At 45.7% G+C, this 21,743-nt stretch overlaps 6 annotated features.

The window, feature by feature from the left end:
• Positions 1,764 to 1,823: an enhancer, noted in NCBI's record as "active region_11311". NCBI's record gives its function as "activates an Ori minimal core promoter by ATAC-STARR-seq in GM12878 lymphoblastoid cells {active_cell/tissue: GM12878}" and the evidence as "EXISTENCE:reporter gene assay evidence [ECO:0000049][PMID:35858748]".
• Positions 1,834 to 1,953: an enhancer, noted in NCBI's record as "active region_11312". NCBI's record gives its function as "activates an Ori minimal core promoter by ATAC-STARR-seq in GM12878 lymphoblastoid cells {active_cell/tissue: GM12878}" and the evidence as "EXISTENCE:reporter gene assay evidence [ECO:0000049][PMID:35858748]".
• Positions 6,463 to 6,652: an enhancer, noted in NCBI's record as "active region_11313". NCBI's record gives its function as "activates an Ori minimal core promoter by ATAC-STARR-seq in GM12878 lymphoblastoid cells {active_cell/tissue: GM12878}" and the evidence as "EXISTENCE:reporter gene assay evidence [ECO:0000049][PMID:35858748]".
• Positions 9,747 to 9,946: an enhancer, noted in NCBI's record as "active region_11314". NCBI's record gives its function as "activates an Ori minimal core promoter by ATAC-STARR-seq in GM12878 lymphoblastoid cells {active_cell/tissue: GM12878}" and the evidence as "EXISTENCE:reporter gene assay evidence [ECO:0000049][PMID:35858748]".
• Positions 12,595 to 12,694: an enhancer, noted in NCBI's record as "active region_11315". NCBI's record gives its function as "activates an Ori minimal core promoter by ATAC-STARR-seq in GM12878 lymphoblastoid cells {active_cell/tissue: GM12878}" and the evidence as "EXISTENCE:reporter gene assay evidence [ECO:0000049][PMID:35858748]".
• Positions 21,483 to 21,532: an enhancer, noted in NCBI's record as "active region_11316". NCBI's record gives its function as "activates an Ori minimal core promoter by ATAC-STARR-seq in GM12878 lymphoblastoid cells {active_cell/tissue: GM12878}" and the evidence as "EXISTENCE:reporter gene assay evidence [ECO:0000049][PMID:35858748]".

Raw genomic sequence — 21,743 nt, forward strand, 5'->3', positions numbered from 1 at the left:
TTCCCCATTTCTAAGGGGACGGGTTGGATAAAATGATGCTTAAAATTCCTGCCATTGAGAGCTTGGAGGCTGCTATCTTGGCTTGGAGCTTAGTCCAGGGTCCCTCAGCCCTGAGGTGCTGGGGATGGGGCCCGAGGGTCTCCCCCTGCTGCCTGCTCCCATTCCCTGATGGCCATGCGGGAGTCCAGGAGGTCATCTGAGTGTGTGGCAGTGCAAGGATGTTGGGGTGCAGGGATCCCTCCCTGCCCAGCACACTCTTGACACCCCCATGCCCCAGCGCCTGTGCAAGGTGTTGTGCCCATCTTCGCCTTGCCCCTTCTCTCTTTCTCTCTCATATTTTATGTCCCATCTGCAGAAAAGGTTGAACAAGAAAGCATCACATTGTGTTTGGGTTTTCAGAAAAACAAAAACATATACCCATTAAGAGCATGCTAACTGCTTCATAAAAACATCCCACCGTGGGCACCGTGATGGCAAACAGAGGCTGTCTGGGCTTCGAGGTTGCTGCACACTGAAGGAATGTTTGGTGAGCCCACTGATGCATCCTTTACATTCCATGACACCGTTAAAAAATAAATTCATTTTTACTGTAGCTGTTTTGTGACTTATATAATCATCCAAAATGCTTTAAAAGCTCTTAAAACAACCGCGGCACATAAAAAATTTACAACGTCTGTAAGCAAAGTAAACAGTCGCATTTAGCCACAGCAGGGGGATTCTTCTTTTTCTTGGTGGCAAAACCGACGTGAAAGATGAGAAGGAAAAAACAATGAATCTCTCTGAAACTCTTCCCTTTAGTTCTTAGTCTTGCTGGCTCACACTGTACTATCAGAAACCGCCTACCATGCTTAAAAGAGAAAGTATTATTTCTGATCTTGTTTTTCCAAGGGAAGGAGTGGGGAGGCTCATGTGCTTTTTTCCCAGAGACAATGTTTAAACTAGAAAACACACTTGGGTTAACCAGAGCCCATGCAATGGCCTGTGTGAAGAGGACAATCTCCAGCCCCTCAAAATGCTGGGGAGCAGTGTCAAGGTTGTGACTGATGTTATAGATCACGGAGCCTCGGCTGAATATGGGAGGGGGTGAAGCTTGAAGGGTGGATGGGAGAGAAATAAAGGACCCGCGGACTGGTGGCCTCCGAGAGGCTGGTGAACTGATATTGTGCCCACATTCGAGCCTAGGTACAAGAAGAAGAAATTGGGTTCTGAAGTCTGAGGGTGTCTGAGTGAGGTATTCTGGAGATAGAGAAAAGACTTGTGGGTTATTGGAACAGAATGGAGACGAAGGTCAGTGAGATGAAGAAATTAAGACAGGGAGCACAAAATTCAGCTCTGAGCTTCCTAGCAGCCACAGCAAAAAGGAACATGATGAGCTCCAACTTAAGAAAAAGAAGATAATAGGTCATCTGATAGGTCTGGGGTTCACCTTGGATGACAGATGGAATTGGGAGGAAGGAGAGAGCTTGTGAGTGGGTATCTGAGTATTCACTGAGTGGAGAGAAACCATCTGGAAGGCCAGTTCCTGCATAACCCTGCGGCTCATGTGTGAGAAACAGAAAAGCTGTTTGTTGCTATCACTGCAGACCTAGTAGACCATGGCGGGTATGGTGCATTGGCTGAGTGGTTATCGGCTGTTTTCACTACACCACAGTGATGTGGCGTCTGGGAGACAGACCTTGCCATGCAGGTGCGGGTGACAGAACTGGGGGTTAGAGGTTAACACCAATGGAACAAGCCCAACTGGACCCCCTGCTCCAACTCAAGCCAGTTCAGGCTGGGGAAGTGGAAGAACCCTGCTGGCTAATGTGCCTGACCCAAGGGTGATTAGCAGCCAGGCCGGTGGACGTGGAGCCGCATAGTGATCGTCATGAGCGCCATTTGTTGGGGACCTGCAGCGCGCTGAGTACTCTATTGTGTCACCTCTTTAATCCTCTTTCATCACCTTTTTAATCACCTCTTTAATGAAGCTCTATTCTTATCTCCTGTCTCCGGCAGAGAAAACTGAGGCCTGAGAGGCCGAGTGCGTGGCCTGAGTTTGCATGGCTGTGGCTAGGAGGCAGCTGAGCTGGGATTGGAACACATGCCTCTCTGATTCCAGAGTCTGTTTTTTTTTTTTTTTCTTTTTCTGGCCCCTTCTAAGGTTTGAACAGGCTGAGTGAGATGTCCTGAGTTGGGCAGTCCCTCGATGGGAGCAGAGCTGTCCGTGTCTGCGGTCTTCGGGAGGCTCCGTGCTGACTGAGAGGCAGCTGGCTGGCTCACACCTGTGCTCAGAACCCCTGGGGTTTTTCCTACAAACCCACTCCATCGCCTTCTGAGTTCACATCAGGGAGAGAGTGACTACGATGAACCTTCCCCAGGAGGCTGCAGGGTTTTAGAAAGGATCCTAAGGAGGGAGCTGCTAGCAGGTGATTTTTGGCCTCAGACATTTAAGAAACCTCAATGGCAGAGAGAGGACTCGAAGGAGGGAATATTGATTTCACAGAATTCATGGTTCCTGCTCAAGACATCCTGGGCAAATCAAGCTCCAGAGACCTAAGGGTCCTCTTTTCCTTTCCTGGCTATTCTACATATTAAAGGGTCCTTTGCATTTATCCTGACAAATCCCACTGGGGTGTGTCTGTCCCGCTATTGTGTCTGATGTCACAGTCTTGAATTTGCTTTAGTGTTGGAACACGGCCTATCCACCACCGTGGCTCTCCTGACATGTGGGGCTGGAGCATTCTCAGCTAGGGGGGTGCCATCCAGGGCACTGTGGGGGTGTTTAGCAGTACCCCTGGCCTCCACCCACTAGATGCCAGTCGTACCCCACCCCAGTTAGCATGACAACAAAAAATGTCCCCAGACATGGTCAATATCCCCCGGGATTTAAAATTCACTCCCCCAACACCTTGTTGAGCTTTTCCACCTGCTCTAGATTTTCTAAGCTTAATGGTACAGAGGGATTTGGGGCTCCATTGCCAATGGCATGTCCTCGGGCAGATCTCTGAATCTCTCTGAGCCTCAGTTTTCTTAACGGCAAAATGTTATCCCCCAAAGGAATAGCAACAGAAGCAGTGACAGTCATGGGAGCCATGGGCTCTTGAACACCTGCTAGTGCCGGGGAGTGTGACAGGAGGGGACGTGCAGCGTCTCATGGAAACGGGGTGTCTTTGGCTACAAAGCCAGAGGTCTGTCCACTCTTCCAAGCTGCTGCCTTTCTGTGATGAGTAGGCGTGAACCTTAGGAAGTGTCATACACAGGACATCACACGAGTGTTAGTTACCACCCTTTGGTTAAATTGCTGAAATGCGAGGCATGTGCACTTTGCCATTGTGGTTTTTACGGACCAGTCACTTAAAAGGCTTGGCCCTTGGCGGTCATCAAGGAATGAGAAAAGAAATGGCCAGCTCTATTGGTGACCATAGCCCTCATGTGCATGGGGCAGTCCTCGTTTCTGTCTGATGTTTTGCTATAATTACTAATTTCACACTCAAAAATGCCCTGGTCTGGATGCAAAATTAAACAGTCATGCTGCCTATGTGGCACTGACTTCCTCCCTTCTGTCCTTCCTCCCTTCTGTCCTTCTTCCTTTCTGTCCTTCTTCTGTCCTTCCTCCCTTCTGTCCTTCTGTCCTTCTTCCCTTCTGTCTTTCTGTCCTTCTTCCCTTCTGTCCTTCCTCCTTTCTGTCCTTCTGTCCTTCCTCCCTTCTGTCCTTCCTCTCTTATGTCCTTTTGTCCTTCTTTCCTCCCTTCCTTTGGCCAATCTACTCTCAAATGTGTCACTCATATGAAAGTCCCAGAGAGACGTCTCCCAGAGTTAGGTCTGAGGAATAAATGAGTCTCTGTTCAATGATGATCCCTCTTTTTTATTAGCCGAGAGCTTGTCATGTTCCCTTTTTGCTGTCTGTCAGGAAGCTCAGAAATAAGGTTTGTGTGCAGATGTGGTAGCTCTCCTTAGCCCAAGTTTCCGGGATCTTCACTTTCTCATCAACAGCTGGATGGTGGCTCATTTCTTATTTTTATTTTATTTTTTTGAGACAGAGTCTCACTCTGTCGCCCAGGCTGGAGTGCAGTGGCATGATCTCAGCTCACTGCAACCTCTGCCTCCCAGGTTCAAGCGATTCTCCCGCATCAGCTTCCCAAGTAGCTGGGATTACAGGCAGGCCACCACACCCAGGTAATTTTTGTATTCTTAGTAGAGATGAACTTTCACTGTGTTGGCCAGGCCGGTCTTGAACTCCTGACTTCAGGTGAGCCGCCTACCTTGGCCTCCCAAAGTGCTAGGATTACAGGCGTGAGCCACCGCCTCCGGCCCCATTTCTTGAATGGTTCTGGGCCTTTGATGATTGCTTGCAAGCGTTTAACCATTTATCTGTAGCCGCTCTTTCACAAGAAGCTGGCTTCAAGGCCTCCCAGCAGCAGGGCAGCTCATAAAAGAAAGACGAATGCACTTTCAGAATGTGGTCGGGGAGACCTGGTTACTCCTTAAAGCTTGAGGACACACACATGGGAGTCACTGTTTGGAGTGGGTTCTGTGATGGGTAGCGCGGATGGGTGAAGAACGAAGTTCCGGCACCAGGCATTGCATGAAAATGTGAAGCGCATTGTCTGCTTCCAATAGGAAAGCACCAACTCCTGTGTGTTGGGGGTTGTTATTATCCCCATTTTACAGAGGAGGAAAGTAAGGGCCAGCTTGGGAGGTGCACCCGCCTGCTTCCTACACAGTTAGCAAATGGAAGAACCACGCTTTGCCCCAGCACTGCTGGTTTCAAAGGCCACGTTCCTAACATCTGCTGCCCACTGTCTCAACATGGCCCTTTGGGATTGTAATAACAGCCTGCGCTGACGGCCTGCTTCCCGTGTGCCAGCCCCTGGGCTGAGAACTGGAATGAACCCCCATGTTATCCTCATGACCAGTCAGAGTTGAAATAACAATGAGTTAGCTGGGCATGGTGGCTCACACCTGTAATCCCAGCACTTTGGGAGGCCAAGACTGGCGGATCACCTGAGGTCAGGAGTTCGAGACCAGCATGACCAACATGGAGAAACCCCGTCTCTACTAAAAATACAAAAAAATTAGCCGGGTGTGGTGGTGCACGCCTGTAATCCCAGCTGCTCAGGAGGCTGAGGTAGGAGAATCGCTTGAACCCAGGAAGTGGAGGTTGCAGTGAGCCAAGATCACGCCATTGCACTCCAGCCCAGGCAACGAGAGCAAAAGTGCATCTCAAAAAAAAAAAAAAAACAAAAAACAAAAAAACAAAAAAAAAAAACAATGACCATCTGTTGACATGTGAAGACATTGAACGTGGAGAGACACACTTGTCCGAGGTCCTGTGCCCCACGATCACACAGGAGGCAGAGGCAGGACTGGTCTGCAGCCAGGTCTGTCTGGGTCCAGCAGCCTAATTTCAAGGATGACTGACCCGTAACAAACTCTCCAGGGAATGTTCAGGGCACATTTCTGACCTTTTGAATTGAGGTCGCAGAATGAAAATGCCATTGTTTGTCACAAAATGTCCTTTGTCATTGCTGTAAATGCCTGGGGAATCAAAGATCTAAATCAGAGGGTGCTTTCTTACGCTCTGTGATTCTGTGCAAGAGGCCTTCAGCAGGGCTGGACTTCCCTCCCAGAAGGGGAGTTTGGTGCTCAGTGGATCCTGTCAGGTGAGAAGCCGAGACCCAGCAGATGTGTGTGCGCACAGCGGAACCAGGTACAAGAGGTACAAGCGGAGATCGAGGTGCCAGCTGCTAAGAGGGGTCTCGCTTCTCATTCATGGAAAGACACGTCCTGGGGCCTGTCCCATCCCCTGTACTCAAACAGCCTCCCACATCTTCCAGGATCTGAAGCTGGACTTACCTGGAGTCCTGGAACATGGTGATCCCATCTCCACTGGACCTGAGTCAGAAGCCTGCTCTAGAGGAAGCAGGAAGTACATCTGGTTTTGGTTGGAGACGTTGCATCCATTCTAATAAAGCCAAGAGTCAAACTGAAATACTGGCTCAGGCTGAGAGGATATTCTGCCGTTGTAGTTTTGCTCGGGGCCATTCGTTTTAAGAAGACTGGAGAGTCAGTTCCAGTTTGTCTTGGGGGACTAAGTTCTTATCATGTGGTTTCTACTGGTGGCTTATTGAGAACACATGCAGGTACAGCCACGTTTGGGTTTTATTCCGTGCGGGATTTCACAAATGGAAGCTATGGGTTCCTGGTCTATTTATTTTACTCCACAGACATTTAAGGGGACCCGCTGGGTGCTAGATGAGTGCGTAGGTACAGAGACAGAAAAAGACGATGTGAGACCACGTCCAGCCAGTGAGTCTGGAGCAGAAAGTCTGTGGTAGGGGCCAGACAGTTGGAGCCAGTTGGTACTAGACCCTAGCACTAGGCTGGGCGTTGGAGCATCGGTCTCTGGCACTGAGGTTTGGAGATGCTGAGTGAGTTCTGGGGGTCAGCCTGCGGCCCCCAGCCCCCAGCAGTGGCTCATGTCGGAGTCCCGGAGGAACGAATACCACCCCACTGTCACTTCTTCAGAGGCGAAAGGGGAAGGGCCGGGATTTGGAATGAAAAATGAAAGTTCTTGCCCCACGAAATGGAAACCGTAGCAGCTGTTTTCAATTTCCTGCCTAGTAGGCGACATGCCCACTCCCTCCCTCGGTCTCATAAACACCTTTCTTTAGAATTTGGAAACACAGAGGGTGGGGGAAAGGCCAGGGTGGCATGCTAGCACGTGGCTCTGGAGTCAGGTGTCGCAGCGGCGGCTCCATCAGAATGCTCACGTCCAAACACCCACTGTCTCTGTGAGAACAACTCCCCGGGAAGCTGTTCTTTCTACTTTCTCTCTCTCTTGCAATTAATAGTGAGTTCCTCTATGAGGCTGTAAGTTTCTGGAAGGTGGTTTCTGGGATGTTCAGTTCCCTAAGCCCACATGGGGCCCAAGACTAATCACTTAAGTAAGGACCACAGCTGCCGCTTGGGAATGCTACTACACGCCTGTCAGTGAATCCTCGAGTTAGCGCTATGATAACCAGCGTAGTAGGGGTGGCTATCTCCATTTTATGTATGGGGAAACTGAGGCACTGAGAAGTGACATCATTTGCCAAGGTTGTAAAATCAGGAGTGGCAAATCCCGGAAACAGAAGGAGTCTGTGATAGCTCAACACCATTGTGACAATGTTAATAACTGCTAAATTGTGACTTTAAAATGGCAAATTTTATGGTAGATAGATTATATCTTGATTTGAAAATGCAATAAAAGGGTACTGGTGTCCCCCACAGTGGCTCTCCTGCCCAGGAGAACAGAGATACCTGTCTTTTTCCACTGCCATGAATGTCTAGCAGATGATGTTTTCAGTAAATGTTGGAAGGAAGGGAGAAAGACACAGTAAGAGAGGAAGGAAGGAGGGATGGAGGGAAAGAGGAAGGAGAGAGGATGGAGGTAGGAGAGGGAGGGAGGGGGGAAGTCCTTTCCAATCTCCACTCTGCCTCTATGGTATTTCGGCAGGTGACTCTACCACTGACTCCTACCTGGGAAGGGCACGATGGCCCCGGAATAGTATGGGCATTGGCTTCCTTCCACCTGGAGCTGCCTGCCAGGCGGCCTCCTTCCTCTGCTGGAGATCTCTGAGCGGCTGGGCTCCCGCTTCCCCCAGGGCCTGCAGTCCCTGGCCTCCTGCAGTTACCCTGGAAGGGCCTGGCACCCTGCCCAGGGCAGAGCTGGGTTTGGAGATGTGATGTGTCTCTGGGGGAAGCTGGCTGAGCCCCACCAGTCTCATTTCAAGTCAGGAACCACCACGGGTCTCCCACATGAAGCCACAACATCCACCGAGCCTCCACTTCGAAGACTTCACCCTGCTGCTGCTGGGTGGGTCAACGCTGGGATGCAGATGCCATTTTATGGCAAAGCTGTCTGTGAAACCAAATGACATTGTCCTCAAAGGAACCAAACCTGCCTCTCTTTCAGGCAGATGACAACCAGAAAATCATTAGCAGGCCTAGGATGTGAGGGAGGAGGAGAAGCCAGTGTCGTCCTTGACTGGAGCGTTGAGAAGCAGCGGTGTGGTAGATGGGCTACTCCTACCCGAGAGTTGAGACGCAGGGGTGTGGTAGACGGGGCTGTTCCTACAGGCCCGAGGGGGCCACTATCTGCACCTCTTCCCAACTCCACGTTCAGGGCAGGCATGGTGGTGGCATGAAATCTGCCAAGCTGTGAGTATTTACGCCATGGGAATTGGCATACGCCATAAACCATGGCTTGCTTTTTCAGAGAGCTGACTGTGACACAATGGATACCAGTCATGTTGTGGTTTATCCTCACTGCCTCATTCTGTCCTTCCAACCATCCTATTAGGCTGGCTCTGTTGTTACAGTTGAAGAAACCCATGCTCGGAGAGGTCACAGGGCTTTCCAGAGGACCCCCAGCTTGGAGAGGGCATGGCCAGGGCTGGATTTGAACCCAAACCTGGAGTGCATTACCACCCTATTCTATGCAGTCTCCAGGTCCTCGTTTGCAAAATGCAATGTGAGCTGACCTCACAGGGATGTTGGGAGAATCTGGATAATGGTTTTGGAGAAGAGGGAGCCCAGCCAGGGGTCCTTCCAGGAGGTTTATTATTTCTCTCTTCTCTACGGCCCTTACCTTCTAAACATTTAGTCAAATATGCCTTCTCACTTCAAAGCAAAAAGCCTGTGATCAGCAGTGATGGCAGGAAACTAAAGAAAAATCTGCCTCTCCTTTGGCTGGTGAGAGATGCTTTGCTTCTTCGGGGCCTCGCCATGGCCCTGCGCATCTGCTTCCCTCCTCCCTCTGCCACCCCTGGCAGATAGAAAATTCTGCAGTGATGGAAACACTCCAGGTCTGTGCTGTCCAATATGCAGCCACCCGTACACAGGGCTCTTGCGCACATGAAAGGTGGCTGGTGTGAGTGAGGAACTGGATTGTAAGTGTAATTTAATTTTAATTAATTAAAATTCAGTTATCATGGCCATGCGTGACTAGTTGCCACTGTCTTAGACAGAGCGACTTCAGAGTTCCGCCCCCTCCACCTTCTGGCTCAATGCCTAGCTCTGCTTCTCCTGTCCAGCCTGGGAGTCGCCCTCTCCATCCTCTCCACATCAGCCTTAGTATTTCAGGCCCTTCTGGAGGTAGCTTTGTCTCCAGAGCCCTCAGGGGCAGGGGCAGCCTGGGACAGTGCAGGCTCTAGTGAGCTCTGTAGCTGAGAAGGGGACCCCCTTTCCTGAGCGGCCTTTGGGAGTGGGGAGCCTGAGAGCAAAGGGTGTCAGGAACACACCCCAGCCTTGTGAGCTGGGACCTGCAGGGTGAGCCCAGGCCCCTGAGCTTTTAAAAGCTCCCGGGTGTTCCTGGTGCAGTGTTTCAGGCTGCAGACTTCAGGCACATTCTTATTTTCTTGGGCCACCCCCTCCTCCCACTTTCCCTCATCCTGGGTCTGAAGCCTCCTCCTCTTTCTCCCCTAAGGAACTCTGTCTTCATCTCTTTCTTTCTTTATATCTGTCCGGGAGCTCCTTGGCCTGGCCCACCTCCTCTGATGGGCTCTTTCCAGCTTGATGGCTCCTTTGAGTACCTGCCGTTCCTACCTCCTGTGGGACATTTCCACCTGCAGGAAATGCCAACCACACAGACTTAAAAATCCCCGGACCGAAGTCCTCATTTCCCCTCCTTTTTCCTCCTCTTATCTTCTCTGCTTGTGTTAGCAGGGCCAAATCTTCCGCGGGTCACTGAGGCTCCCATCTTTAAAGTCATTGCCAACTTCTCCTTCTCTCTCAACCTGACTGGATGTTACAAATTCCTGTGTCATTTCCATTCTATTTCTTGCTTTCAATCTTTTCTTTCACTTTCAGCATCTCTGTTCAGACCCTTGTCTCTTCCTGGATCTATCTTCTGTAAACTCCAAAGCAGCCCTCACAACTCCTCATGATCTTCAAAACAAAGCTTTGAAAATGATTGGGCCCTCTGCTCAAGCCCCTCACTGCTGTCAGGATGAGGTTTGAGTCCTTAGCAGTGCTGTCAGGATGAGGTTTGAGTCCTTAGCAGTGCTGTCAGGATGAGGTGTGAGTCATTAGCAGTACATTCAGTGCCTGCTATTACCTTGCCCTACTTCTGTCTTTCCCCGGGACTGACTTCATGCTCCAGCCCTGAGTGAGTATCTCATGGGCCATCTGTGCACCTGGTTGGAGCTTGTGCATCTGCAGCGTTCTGTGGTGAAGCAGTCTGATGTTGATGGGGATCATGAGGCTGTCCCTGGGATCACTGTGAAAGCGTGCTGCAATTGATTAGCAATGTCTGCTGCTGGTGAGGGTGGGGAGAGTGTGGCACAGGTACCATGTATTTACCAACCTGTTTTCCAACAGATGGGGTTTTTCTCTATAGCCTGCCCCAAATCACTTTACACTTTCTGATACTTGGACTTTTCCTCCATTCCTGTCCCTTTCTCGGTATGTTTGAATTCTAGCAACTCTCTAAGGGCCTGCCTGAGTACTACCTTCTTTGTGAAGTATTCCTTGTGTGCAGCTGATGTTGAAGACAGAAAAATGTATATAGATAATTCAGCCAGAGACCAAGGGGCAGCCCCTGGTGGAGTGTTAAGCCAGATGTTCCCAAGCACAGGCATGGCCAGCCGCAGCCACATCATGGGTCAGAGTCCTGGGCCCCAGCTTGGACTCTCCTGTGATGGGGTCAGAGATTGGCATTTTTAACAAGCTCCCAGGTGATTCTTAGGCATTACTTGGTGAGAGAACTCCTGTTAGAATGCCTAAGAGTAAAATTCTGCCACGCTGTCCCAGAGCTGAGACCTCAGTCGCTGCTTCTCAAACCATTACATTTAATGGCAAAAACTGCAATCGCTTTTGCCCCAACCTGCAGGGCAGGACCAGTTGTTAAAAATTCCTTGATCTAATGTGAACCAAAATTGCAATTAAAATGTTAGTGGGCATTTCCCCATTTTTGTCATGATATAGATGGATACTGAATTTCTTATCTTTGAATCATTTATTGCTCAGAACTCAAGTAAGCATGCCAGCACTTCCTATGTTCGTGCTGGAGGGGAAATGTTTTACTTTTTACTGGAGAAGACAAGACAGGGTGATTTTCATGCTATTGTTTTATACACATGACAACAACATATCTTGCCTTATGTAAAGGCAAGTTCATATTTGTAGATAATTTATCTTTTCTTCCTCCACTAAACATATGCAGTAATCACTCAACTGGAAGGTGAGTATTTATTTTGTTTTTAAGGAGAGCCACTTTCTAACTGAAGATGATTGATACAGGGAAAAGTTTGTACTACAATATATACCTCATATATTTGACTGCAGGTTATAAAATTTTTTAAAATGGGCTGGGTGCGTTGGCTCATGCCTGTAATCCCAGCACTTTGGGAGGCCAAGGTGGGTGGATCACCTAAGGTCAGGAGTTCAAGATCGGCCTGGCCAACATGATGAAACGCTGTGTCTACTAAAAATACAAAAAATGAGCTGGACACGGTGGCAGGTGCCTGTAATCCCAGCTACTGGGGAGGCTGAGGCAGGATAATTGCTTGAAACTGGGAGGTGGAGGTTGCAATGAGCCAAGATTGTGCCACTGCACTTCAGCCTGGACAACAAGAGTGACACTTTGTCTCAAAAAATATTTTTTAAAATCTCTAATTAATATATTTGGAACTGATTCATAAGAAAGACTATGCAAACTGTCCTGAAAATGAAAAAAAGTTTGAATCCATTGCACACTGCTACTTTTATAAAATAATGTAAAAATGAATTACTGGAAAAATACAATAAAGATATAAAAATATAAGCCCAACTTTAGACCTCAAAGTACTCTGTTGAATTGCTGTAAAAATTTCTAACTCTTTCTCTCAATTTCTTCACTCCTTGTGAACCGGCACCTAATAGTTTGTGGATCGCACTTGAGCCACCCTTAGAACAGCACAGGTCCGAGGGTCATCCCAGCCGTCCCAGCTAGCTCTCGTGGTCATCTTGCCAAAATGAATCCTTTGCAATAAATAATTCAATATGACACATGTTCCTCTTGTATGACGGTCAAAAAAATCCTTGCATTTTTCCTGGGTGTGTTCTCAGTGGAGTGTAGGCATGTGGGTAAGAAGGTCAATAAAGGCCAGGTGCAGTGGTTCACTTCTGTAACCTCAGCACTTTGGGAAGCTGAGGCAGCAGGATTGAGTCCAGGAGTTTGAGACCAGCCTGGGCAACGTAGTAAGACCCTGTCTCTATAAAAAATAAAGAAAACTAGCCCGGTGTGGTGGTGCGCACCTGTAGTTCCAGCTACTTGGGAGGCTGAAGTGGGAGGATCTCTTGAGCCTGGGAGGTGGAGGCTGCAGTGAGCTGGGATTGTGCCAGTGCACTCCAGTCTGGGCAACCTTCAGAGTGAGACCTTGACTACCCACAAGTTGTTTTCTTATTCGTAGTTAACTTTTTCAGCTTCCCCTTGTCTGCGATTATGTTCATTCCCTTTAACAAAAATCACTTAGATCAGGTAGCTACTGCCCCAAAGTAGAGAGAGGAATGACTTCATGGAACTCTCCCTGATTTTAGAAACCCTTCCCCTCACTCGCTGTGTCTCTGCAGAGCAGCTGCCTGCCTCTCGGCCTACACATCTTGGCAGCTGTGCATGGCGTTGTGCTGTGTACTCCTGACTAACTCTGTTTGACCCTTGGAGATAGAAATGCAAGTAAAGGCATAAATGCATTTTTAGGAATGTATTTATCAGAATCCAATTCTACACTAGGGAAAGGGTTTTGACAGCGCGGCTGGAACCTATGAGATTTTACTTGTCTAAACAAACAAATTTTTAAATACCTGATTTTGGTTGGGGCCCCTGCCTCGAACTATGAAAAAGATAAAATATGCAAAACGCACATTTCCACCCTGTTAAAAATATGTCTGGGTGCTAGGTCTGGCTTCCTTTGTTGGCCAGAGTGGGGGCCTCATCCTAGGTAGGGTGGCGTGACCACTATTTGCATAACCTATTTACTTCAGAGTTTTAAAACATGTGGGAGCCACTGAGTGTCCCCAAATGGTAGTTTTTCATGGGGAGACAGAGACCTGGCACTAGATGTGTAACCTCAGTTAGGTCTCAGCCTTGCTGATTCACAGTCTCTGTGCCTCTCAGATAAGGAAGGTGAACTTAATAATGAAGGCTACCTCTGTGGAGTGTTCACCACACCCCAAATTCCTGCTAAGCCAGCTCCATGCATTAATCCAATTTAATGCTTGCAATCCAATGAGCTTCATGTGATGATCAGGACATTTCACAGATGAAGAAACAAGGCACGGGACATGGTCCCTTGCCCGAGTTCACACAGCTGGGATATGCCAGAATCACCCTTCCTCTCTTGGAGTTTTGACCCCCAAGCCTATGTTCTTTCCCTCTAGCTTTTTTTTTATCGTGAAAATTTTCAAGTATTTGGAGAAGTTGAAAGATTAGTACAAGGATCATCTGTACAGCTACTATCTGGCTTCAACAACTTAACATTTGCTATATTTGTGCCTTCTCTCTCTCTTTTGATGAAGTATGTACCCCATTTTAGAGAACAGCCTTCCGATACCAGTTTTATTGAGGTGTAATTGACATATGATGAGCCATACATATTTAAAGTATGCAATTTGATACGCTGTACATACACATGTCCCCTTGAAATCATCGGCACACTCAAGACAAGGAACAGACTCATTATCCCAAAAGTTCACTCAGGCCTGGCTTTCATCCCCCCACCTGCTCTTCCTTGTTGCACCCCACCTCCAGCCCCGGCAATCACGGGTCTGCTTTCTGTCACTGTGCGTTAGTTTGCATTTTCTAGAATTCTATAAAAATGGAATTACATAGTTTGTATTTTTTTTTTGGTGGTGGTAGTGGGGCGGGGAGGTGTCTGGCTTCTCTCACTGAACACAGGTCGTCTGTGTTGCAGTGTGCTGTGGTCCAAATGTATCCCCCCAAAAATTCACACGTCGGAACTTAACCTCCAAGGTGATGGTACTAAGAGGTGGGGCCTTGCGAGGTGATCAGTCAGGAGGGCTCCACCTGGGAGACTGAAGTTGTGCCCAGATAGACGGGCTTCAGGGAGTGAGTTAGTCCCTTTGTGGTTCCTTCTGCCATGTGAGGACAAAGCAAGAGGTACCATCTGCAAAGCCGAGAGCAAAAGCCCTCCCCAGACACTGAACCTGCTGGTGCCTTAATCTTGGAGAACTGTGAGCAATAAATTTCTATTATTTATAGGTCACCCAGTTTAAAATACATGGTTATAGCAGCAGGAACTGACTAAGACATAGCATGAATCGATTGTTCATTCTATTTCTTGCTGAGTAGCATCACATTATATGCATATACCACAATTTCTTTATCCACTTACCTTTTAGTGTTGTTTCTGGGCTTTGGTGGTTACAAACAGAGCTGCTCTGAACATCTGTGTACAAGCATTTTCATGAACAGCATGTGCTGTGGTAGGCAGAACGTCCTACCTCTCCTCCCTCCGGGATGTTTGTGCTCTTATCTCTAGGACCTGTGGATATGTTACATTATATGGCAAAAAGAATTCATATAATTAGGGTTATGGACTTTATGATACGGGGGCTGTCCTGGGTTATTTGGGTGGGCCCAATCTAATCACACAAGACTTTAAAGGTAGAGAAGCTTCTCTGGCTGGAGAGAGAGGAGGCAGAAGGGGAGAGAGAGGAGGCAGAAGGTCAGAGAAGGACTCAATGTGTCATTGCTGGGTTGAAGATGGAGGGAGCAATGTGATGGGGCATTAGGGCCACGTAAGGAACTGACAGCCAGCAAGGGAATGGAGACCCCACACCAAGAGCCCCAGGAACTGAACTCTGCCAGCGACCTGAACAAGGTTGAAGTGGATTCTTCCCCAGGGCTTCCAGAGAAGAACACAGCCCTTGACTTTGGGCTTGTGAAACCCTGAGCCAAGAACCCCACCAAGCCTGCCTGGCCTTGAGACTCAGGCACAATGAGATAATAAATAGGTGCTGTTTTAGCTGCTAAGTGTGTGTGGTAATTCATTACGGCAGCAATAGAAAACTAATACATATGTATTCATTTCTCTTAGGTAAACGCCTAGGAGGGGGATGACTGGGTCATATGGTAGGGGCATGTTTCACTTTTTGAGAAACTTCCAAACTGTTTTTCGAAGTGGTTGTACTATTTTATACTCAGGGTATGTGGGCTCCTGCTGCTCCACATCCTTGTCAATACTTGGTAGGGCCAGTCCTTTAAATTTTAGACGTTTTTTTTTTAACATGGAATTTTAGACATTGTGGTTTACCTTGCGTTTCCCTAATAACTATGACATTGAGCTTCTTTTCACAGGCTTATTTGATTTCCATATATTTTCTTTGGTAAAGTGTTTATTTAACTCTTTTTGCCCACTTAAAAAATTGCATTGTTTTCATATTATTGAGTTTTTTGTTTTTTGTTTTTCGGTTTTTTTTTTGAAAGAGAGTCTCGCTCTGTCGCCCAGGCTGGAGTGCAGTGGCGCGATCTCGGCTCACTGCAACCTCCACCTCCCAGGTTGAAGTGATTCTCCCGTCTCAGCCTGTCGAGTAGCTGGGAATACGGGTGCACGCCACCACACCCAGCTAATTTTTTTGTGTTTTTAGTAGAGATGGGGTTTCATTATGTTGGGCAGGCTGGTCTTGAACTGACCTCAAGTGATCCACCCACCTCAGCCTCCCAAAGTGCTGGGATCACAGGCATGAGTCACTGCACCTGGCCTTATTATTGAGTTTTGAGAGTTCTTTATATATTTTTGATACAAACCTTTTATCAGGTAGGTAATTTGTAAATGTTTTCTCCCAGTCTGTGGCTTGTCTTTTCTGGTATTAACAATGTTTCTCAAAGAAAGAAGTTATTAATTTTGATGAAGTTCTTGGTTTGTCAACTTTTTTCTCTTACGGGCCATGCTTTGGTGTCATATGTAAGAAACCTTCACTTAACCGAAGATAACAAAACATTTCTCCTGTGTTTTTTCTAGAAATTTTATAGTTTTGCTAGTCCTGATGGCTCATGCCTATAATCCCAGCACTTTGGGAGGCTAATGTGAGAGGATTGCTTGAGGCCAGGAGTTCGAGACCAGCCTGACCAACATAGTAAGGCCCTGTTTCTACCAAAAGATAGAAAAACATAGTCAGGTATGGTGGCACATACCTGTAGTCCCAGCTACTTGGGAGACTGAGGTGGGAGGATTGCTAGAGTCAAGGAGTTCAAGGCTGCAGTGAGCCACGATTGCACCATTGCACTCTAGCCTAGGCAACAGAGTGAGAGCTGACTCCAAAAAAAAAAAAAAAAAAAGAAATTTTATGGTTTCAGAGTTTACATTGAAGTATATAATCCATTTGGAGTTAATTTTTATATATCATACAATGCATGGATTTTAAGTTTAGTTTTTTCTTTTTTTTTGAATGTAGATATAGATGTTTTCTAGCACCATTTGTTGAAAAGACCACCTTTCTCCACTGAATTGCCTTTGCACCCTTGTCAATAATCAGTTGGTCAATATACAAGTGGGTCTATTTCTGAACCCTATTCTGTTCCATTGATGTACTTATCTATCTTTATACTTATGCCACACTGTCTTGATTACTATAGCTTTATAATTAGTTTTGGAACTAGATAGTGTAAGTCCTCCAGCTATCTTCTTCTTTCCCAGGGTTGTTTTGGCTATTCAAGGTCCTTTGCATTTTCATATACACTTTAAAATCAGCTTGTAAATTTCTTTAAAAAAAAAAACATGTATTTTAATCAGGATTGTGTTGAAGAGTCTTCTGACTCATGAACATGGTACATCTCTTCATTAATTTAGGTTAGCCCAGAAATATTTTGTAGTTTCCAGTGTACATGCTTGTATATCTTTTGACTGATTTGTCCCTAGGTTTTCATATTTTTGAATAGTATTGTCAATGGTATTGTTTTTAAATTTCAATTTTGGATTTTGCTAGTATGTAGAAATACAACTGATTTTTGTATATTGGTCTTGTAACTTGCAATCCTGCTAAATTCACATATTAGTTCTGCTAGCTTTGTTGTAGATTTCACTAGATTTTTGACATGAAGCATCATGACATCATGTCGTCTTTCCTCATACTGAAGCCTTTATTTCTTTTTACTGCCTTATTGCACAAATTAGAAGAATGTTTAGTAAAATGTTGAATAGAAGTGGTGAGAGTGGACATCCTTGCCTTTTTCCTCACCTTAAGACAAACTATTTCGTCTTTCGCTACTTAGGGTAATGTTATCTTAAATGCCCTTATCAAGTTGAGGAAGTTTGTTTCTTCCTCAAATTTGTTGAGAGTTTTAAAAATAAGAAGTGATGCCAGATTTTGTTAAATGCTTTTGCTGCATCTATTGAGGTGATCATATGGTATTTCTTTTTATAGTCTGTTAATATGGTAAATTAGCTGTTGACTTTTCTATGTTAAACCAACCTTATATTCTTGCAATAGCCTCTGCTCCATAATATTGTCTTATTCCTTTTATATATTGTTGGGGTTTCCCAATGTTTTTATATTATTGGGCTTAATTTGCTAAAACTTTGTTAAAAACTTTTGATCTATATTCATGAATGATATTGGTCTATCATTTTCTTTTCTTGTAATGTCTTTTTCTATTTTTTAGTAGAAACAGGGTCTCACTAAGTTGGTCAGGCAGGTCTTTATAGGACATTTACAAGACATTACAAGAAAAGAAATGGTTTTGGCATTAAAGTAATACCAGTCTCATAAAATGAGTAGGAAAATATTCCCCCCCTCTTCAATTGTTATGAATAAATTTGTGAAGAATTGACATAATTTCTTCCTTAAATATTTAGTAGAATTGATAAGTGAATCCATTTGAATCTGATGCTTTCATTCTGGGAAGGGTTTTAACTGCAAAAAGCCTGTCTTTAATAAATGTATGGATATTCAGATTTTTTCTTTGAGTGAGCTTTGTTTGTGTTTTTCAAGAAATTTGTCAGCTTCACTCAAAGTGTCAAATTTATGGAAATTGTTTATAATTTTCCCTTATTATACTTCTACTATCTGTAGAATTTATGTTAATGTTACCTCTTTCATTTCTAATTTTGGTAATTGTGTCTTCTCTTTTTTTTTCCTTGTTAGTCTGGTTAGAGGTTTATTAATATTATTGATCTATCAAAGAACCAGTTTTGGTTTCTTTGATTTTGGTATTGTCTTCTAGTTTCTATTTCTTTCATTTCTGATCTTATCTTCACGATTTCCTTCCTTTTGCTTGTGTTGGTTTTACCCTACTCTTCTTATTCTGGTTTCTTAGGTGGAAATCAGGTCATTCATTTGGGCACTTTTTTCTTTTTATTAGATGGGTTGGATGCTCTACATTTCCCTTGAAGTTCTGCCTCAGTATCATTACTCAGATTATGATACGCTGTGTTTTCATTTTCATTCTCTTTAACATACTTTCTAACTCCTATTTTCATTTTTCATTTGACCCATATGTTATTTAGAAGTGTGTTAATTGCATTCTAAATCTTAGATTTTTCTGGAGATCATTTTGTTATCAAACATTTTAATTTCGTTGTGGTCAAAGAAAATACATCGTATGACTTAAATTATTTTGAGTTTATTAAAACTTGTTTCATGACTCAAATATTGTTTACTTTGGTAAACATTCTGCATGCACTTTCAAAGAATGTGTGTTATGCTATTGTTGGATGGAGTGTTGTATGAATGCTGGTAGATCGCATTGTGTGATAGTGGTGTTTAGGTCTTCTGTATCCTTGCTTATTTTTGTTATTCTGTAAATTACTGAGAGAGGGGTGCTGAACACTCTGACAATAGTTGTGAAAGTGCCAGTTTTCTTTGCAGTTCAGTCATGTATTTCAAAGCTTTGTTATTAGGTGGATAATACATAGGCTCATATGGCCTCTTAATGAATAGACCCCTTAATCTTTATGAAATGGCCCTTTCTCCCTGGTCATATTCTTGCTATAAAATTTACTTTGTCAGATATTAATACGGCCACTCCTGCTGTCTGCGGTGTTAGCATAACGCTGTGTCTCTCCTGGCCCTCCCCACCTGCCTGTGGCACTTTTAACCTATTTGTTTCTATACATATTTAAAGTGAGTTTCTGATAGTCAGACTAAAGCTGGGTCCTGCATTTTTATTCAGTCTCACAATATCTGCTTTTTCAGTGTTTAGGTCATTTATTTTAATATAATTGTTGACATGGTTGAGTTTCAATCTACCAATCTGGAAGATATTTTCTATTTGTCTCTACTGTTCTTTGTTCCTTTTTCTTTCTGCCTTCTTTTAGATGGAATATTATTTTAATGGTACACTTATCTCCATTGCTGGCTTATTAGCTTTAACTCTGCTGTGTTATTTTAGTGGTTTGTTGTATGCATATCTAACTTATCACAGCTTACTCTCAAATGTTCTTCCACTGCTTCCCATATAGTATAAGAAGTCTTTCCTTCTTACCTTTGTTCCTCTTTACCTAATATTTTTTCCCCCTCTGGTTGCCTTTAAGATTTCATCTTGATCACTAGTTTTGAGTAATTTGATTATCATGGCCTTGTGGTTTTTTTCATTTCTTCTGCTTGATATTTGTGGAGCTTCTTAGATCTGTGGGTGCTGAGTTTTCATTACATTTAGGGTTCTTTTTTTTTTTTTTTTTTGAGATGAAGTCTCGCTCTGTCGCCCAGGCTGGAGTGCAGTGGCGCCATCTCGGCTCACTGCAAGCTCCGCCTCCTGGGTTCACACCATTCTCCTGCCTCAGCCTCCTGAGTGGCTGGGACTACAGGCGCCCACCACCACGCCCAGCTAATTTTTTTGTATTTTTAGTAGAGATGGGGTTTCACCATGTGAGCCAGGATGGTCTCGATCTCCTGACCTCGTGATCCGCCCTCCTCGGCTTCCCAAGTGCTGGGATTACGGGCAAATTTAGGTATTTTTTAGACATTTCTTTAAGCATTTTTTTCTATACCCTCCTCCCCATCCTAAGGGCCTCCAATGACACATATGTTAGGGTGCTTGATGTCCCACACCTCACAGATGATCTGCTCACGTTTTTCAGCCTTGTTTTTTTTTTTTTTTCCCTTAGACAAGGTCTCACTCTGTTGCTCAGGCTGGAGTACAGTGGCACAACTACGGCTCACCGCAGCATCAACCTCCCAGGCTCAAGCCTCCCACTTCAGCCCTCTGAGTAGCTGGGACTGTCGGTGCACACCACCATGTTTGGCTAATTTTTCTAGTTTTTGTAGAGATAGGGTCTCACTATGTTGCCCAGGCTAGTCTCGAACTCCTGGGCTCAAGCTATCCTCCCACCATGGCCCCCCAAAATGCTGGGATTACAGGCGTGAGCCACTGTGCCTGCCCCATTGCTTTCAGTCTTTATTCTCTCTGTGTATTATTCAGATCGTGTCTCTTTCTATTGTCTTCAAGTTCACCAACATTTTCTCATGCACTTTAGAAAAGAGGGCATGGAAGAAATCATATCCTAAGTGGATAGTCAAGGAGAAGGGGCTTGGTGAAGGCCCTGTCTGGACACCTTATTTGTTAAGGTGTCTTCATTAAGGTTAAGCTTGCTGATGCTAGCTGGCCATGGAGAAGCTGCAGATTGGCTGTCCGGATGTGTTTTTAGTGGCGTTTCTAGTGAAGCCAGGTTCTGAGTTGCATGCAGGAAACCATCATCCTCAGCAAAGTAACACAGGAACAGAAAACCAAACACCGCATGTTCTCACTCATAAGTGGGAGTTGAACAGTGAGAACACATGGACACAGGGAGGGGAACACCACACACTGGGGCCTATCAGGGGGTGGGGGACAAGGGGAGGGAGAGCATTAGGACAAATACGTAATGCATGCAGGGCTTAAAACCTAGATGACGGGTTGATGGGTGCAGCAAACCTCCATGGCACATGTACACCTATGTAACAAAGCTCGACGTTCTGCCCATGTATCCCAGAACATAAAGGAAAATAAAAAAATAAAAATACAAATAAATAAATAAAAGAAGAAGGTAGAAATAGAATCGGGGTAGGGGGTCTCGTAGCAGACTCACACACCTGCAGGGAGTTTGGAGGTCACGTCTCTCATCCCTTTGTTTTAGATGTAGTTAACCCCAGCTAGTGCTCATTAAGTGCTTGCCTCCAGCAACTCTCGAATCCTCATAACAAGCCTATTATAGGGGACTCTTATACCTATTTTGCAGGTGATAAAACTGAGGCACAGAGAGGTTGAGTAACCTGGTCAAGGTCATTCAGTGAGAAGCACCAGAGCCCGGATCTGAGCCTTGGTGGTCTGGCTCTGAAGCCCCTGTTTTGATCCACCCCACTGTCTGGCACCTAGAACCCCACTTTGCATATGAGGATATTGAGGTACAGAGAGGGGAAGTCACCTGTCCAAGACCACAGAGTGAGTGCCTGTTGGAACGGAGGCTGTGGCTGCAGCAGCACCTGGCCATGCCTGGGAGTGACTGCTTTCCATTGATCTCGGTGCTTGGGGCCCATCTTCTTGGTGGCTGGTGAGCACTTGAGGTCAGAGATCTGGGGCTGTGGACACAGTGGGATCCTTTGGGGTGACAGTTAAGGGCCTTGACCACCCCATTTCCTGGAAGCAGCATCAGCTGCCTGAGTGTCTGTTGGCTCCTATGTAAGATGGGGACATCACACCACGTCCCTGAGGGTTAAATGTGACCACGCAAGGGGAGGGTGTAGCTCAGAGCCCAGGGCCTTGGCAAGCACAGTCAACAGCAATCACCAGAACCCCGCAGCAGGGT

The sequence above is a fragment of the Homo sapiens genome, chromosome 16 (assembly GCF_000001405.40).
Source record: "Homo sapiens chromosome 16, GRCh38.p14 Primary Assembly".
NCBI classification, from domain to species: Eukaryota; Metazoa; Chordata; class Mammalia; order Primates; family Hominidae; genus Homo; species Homo sapiens.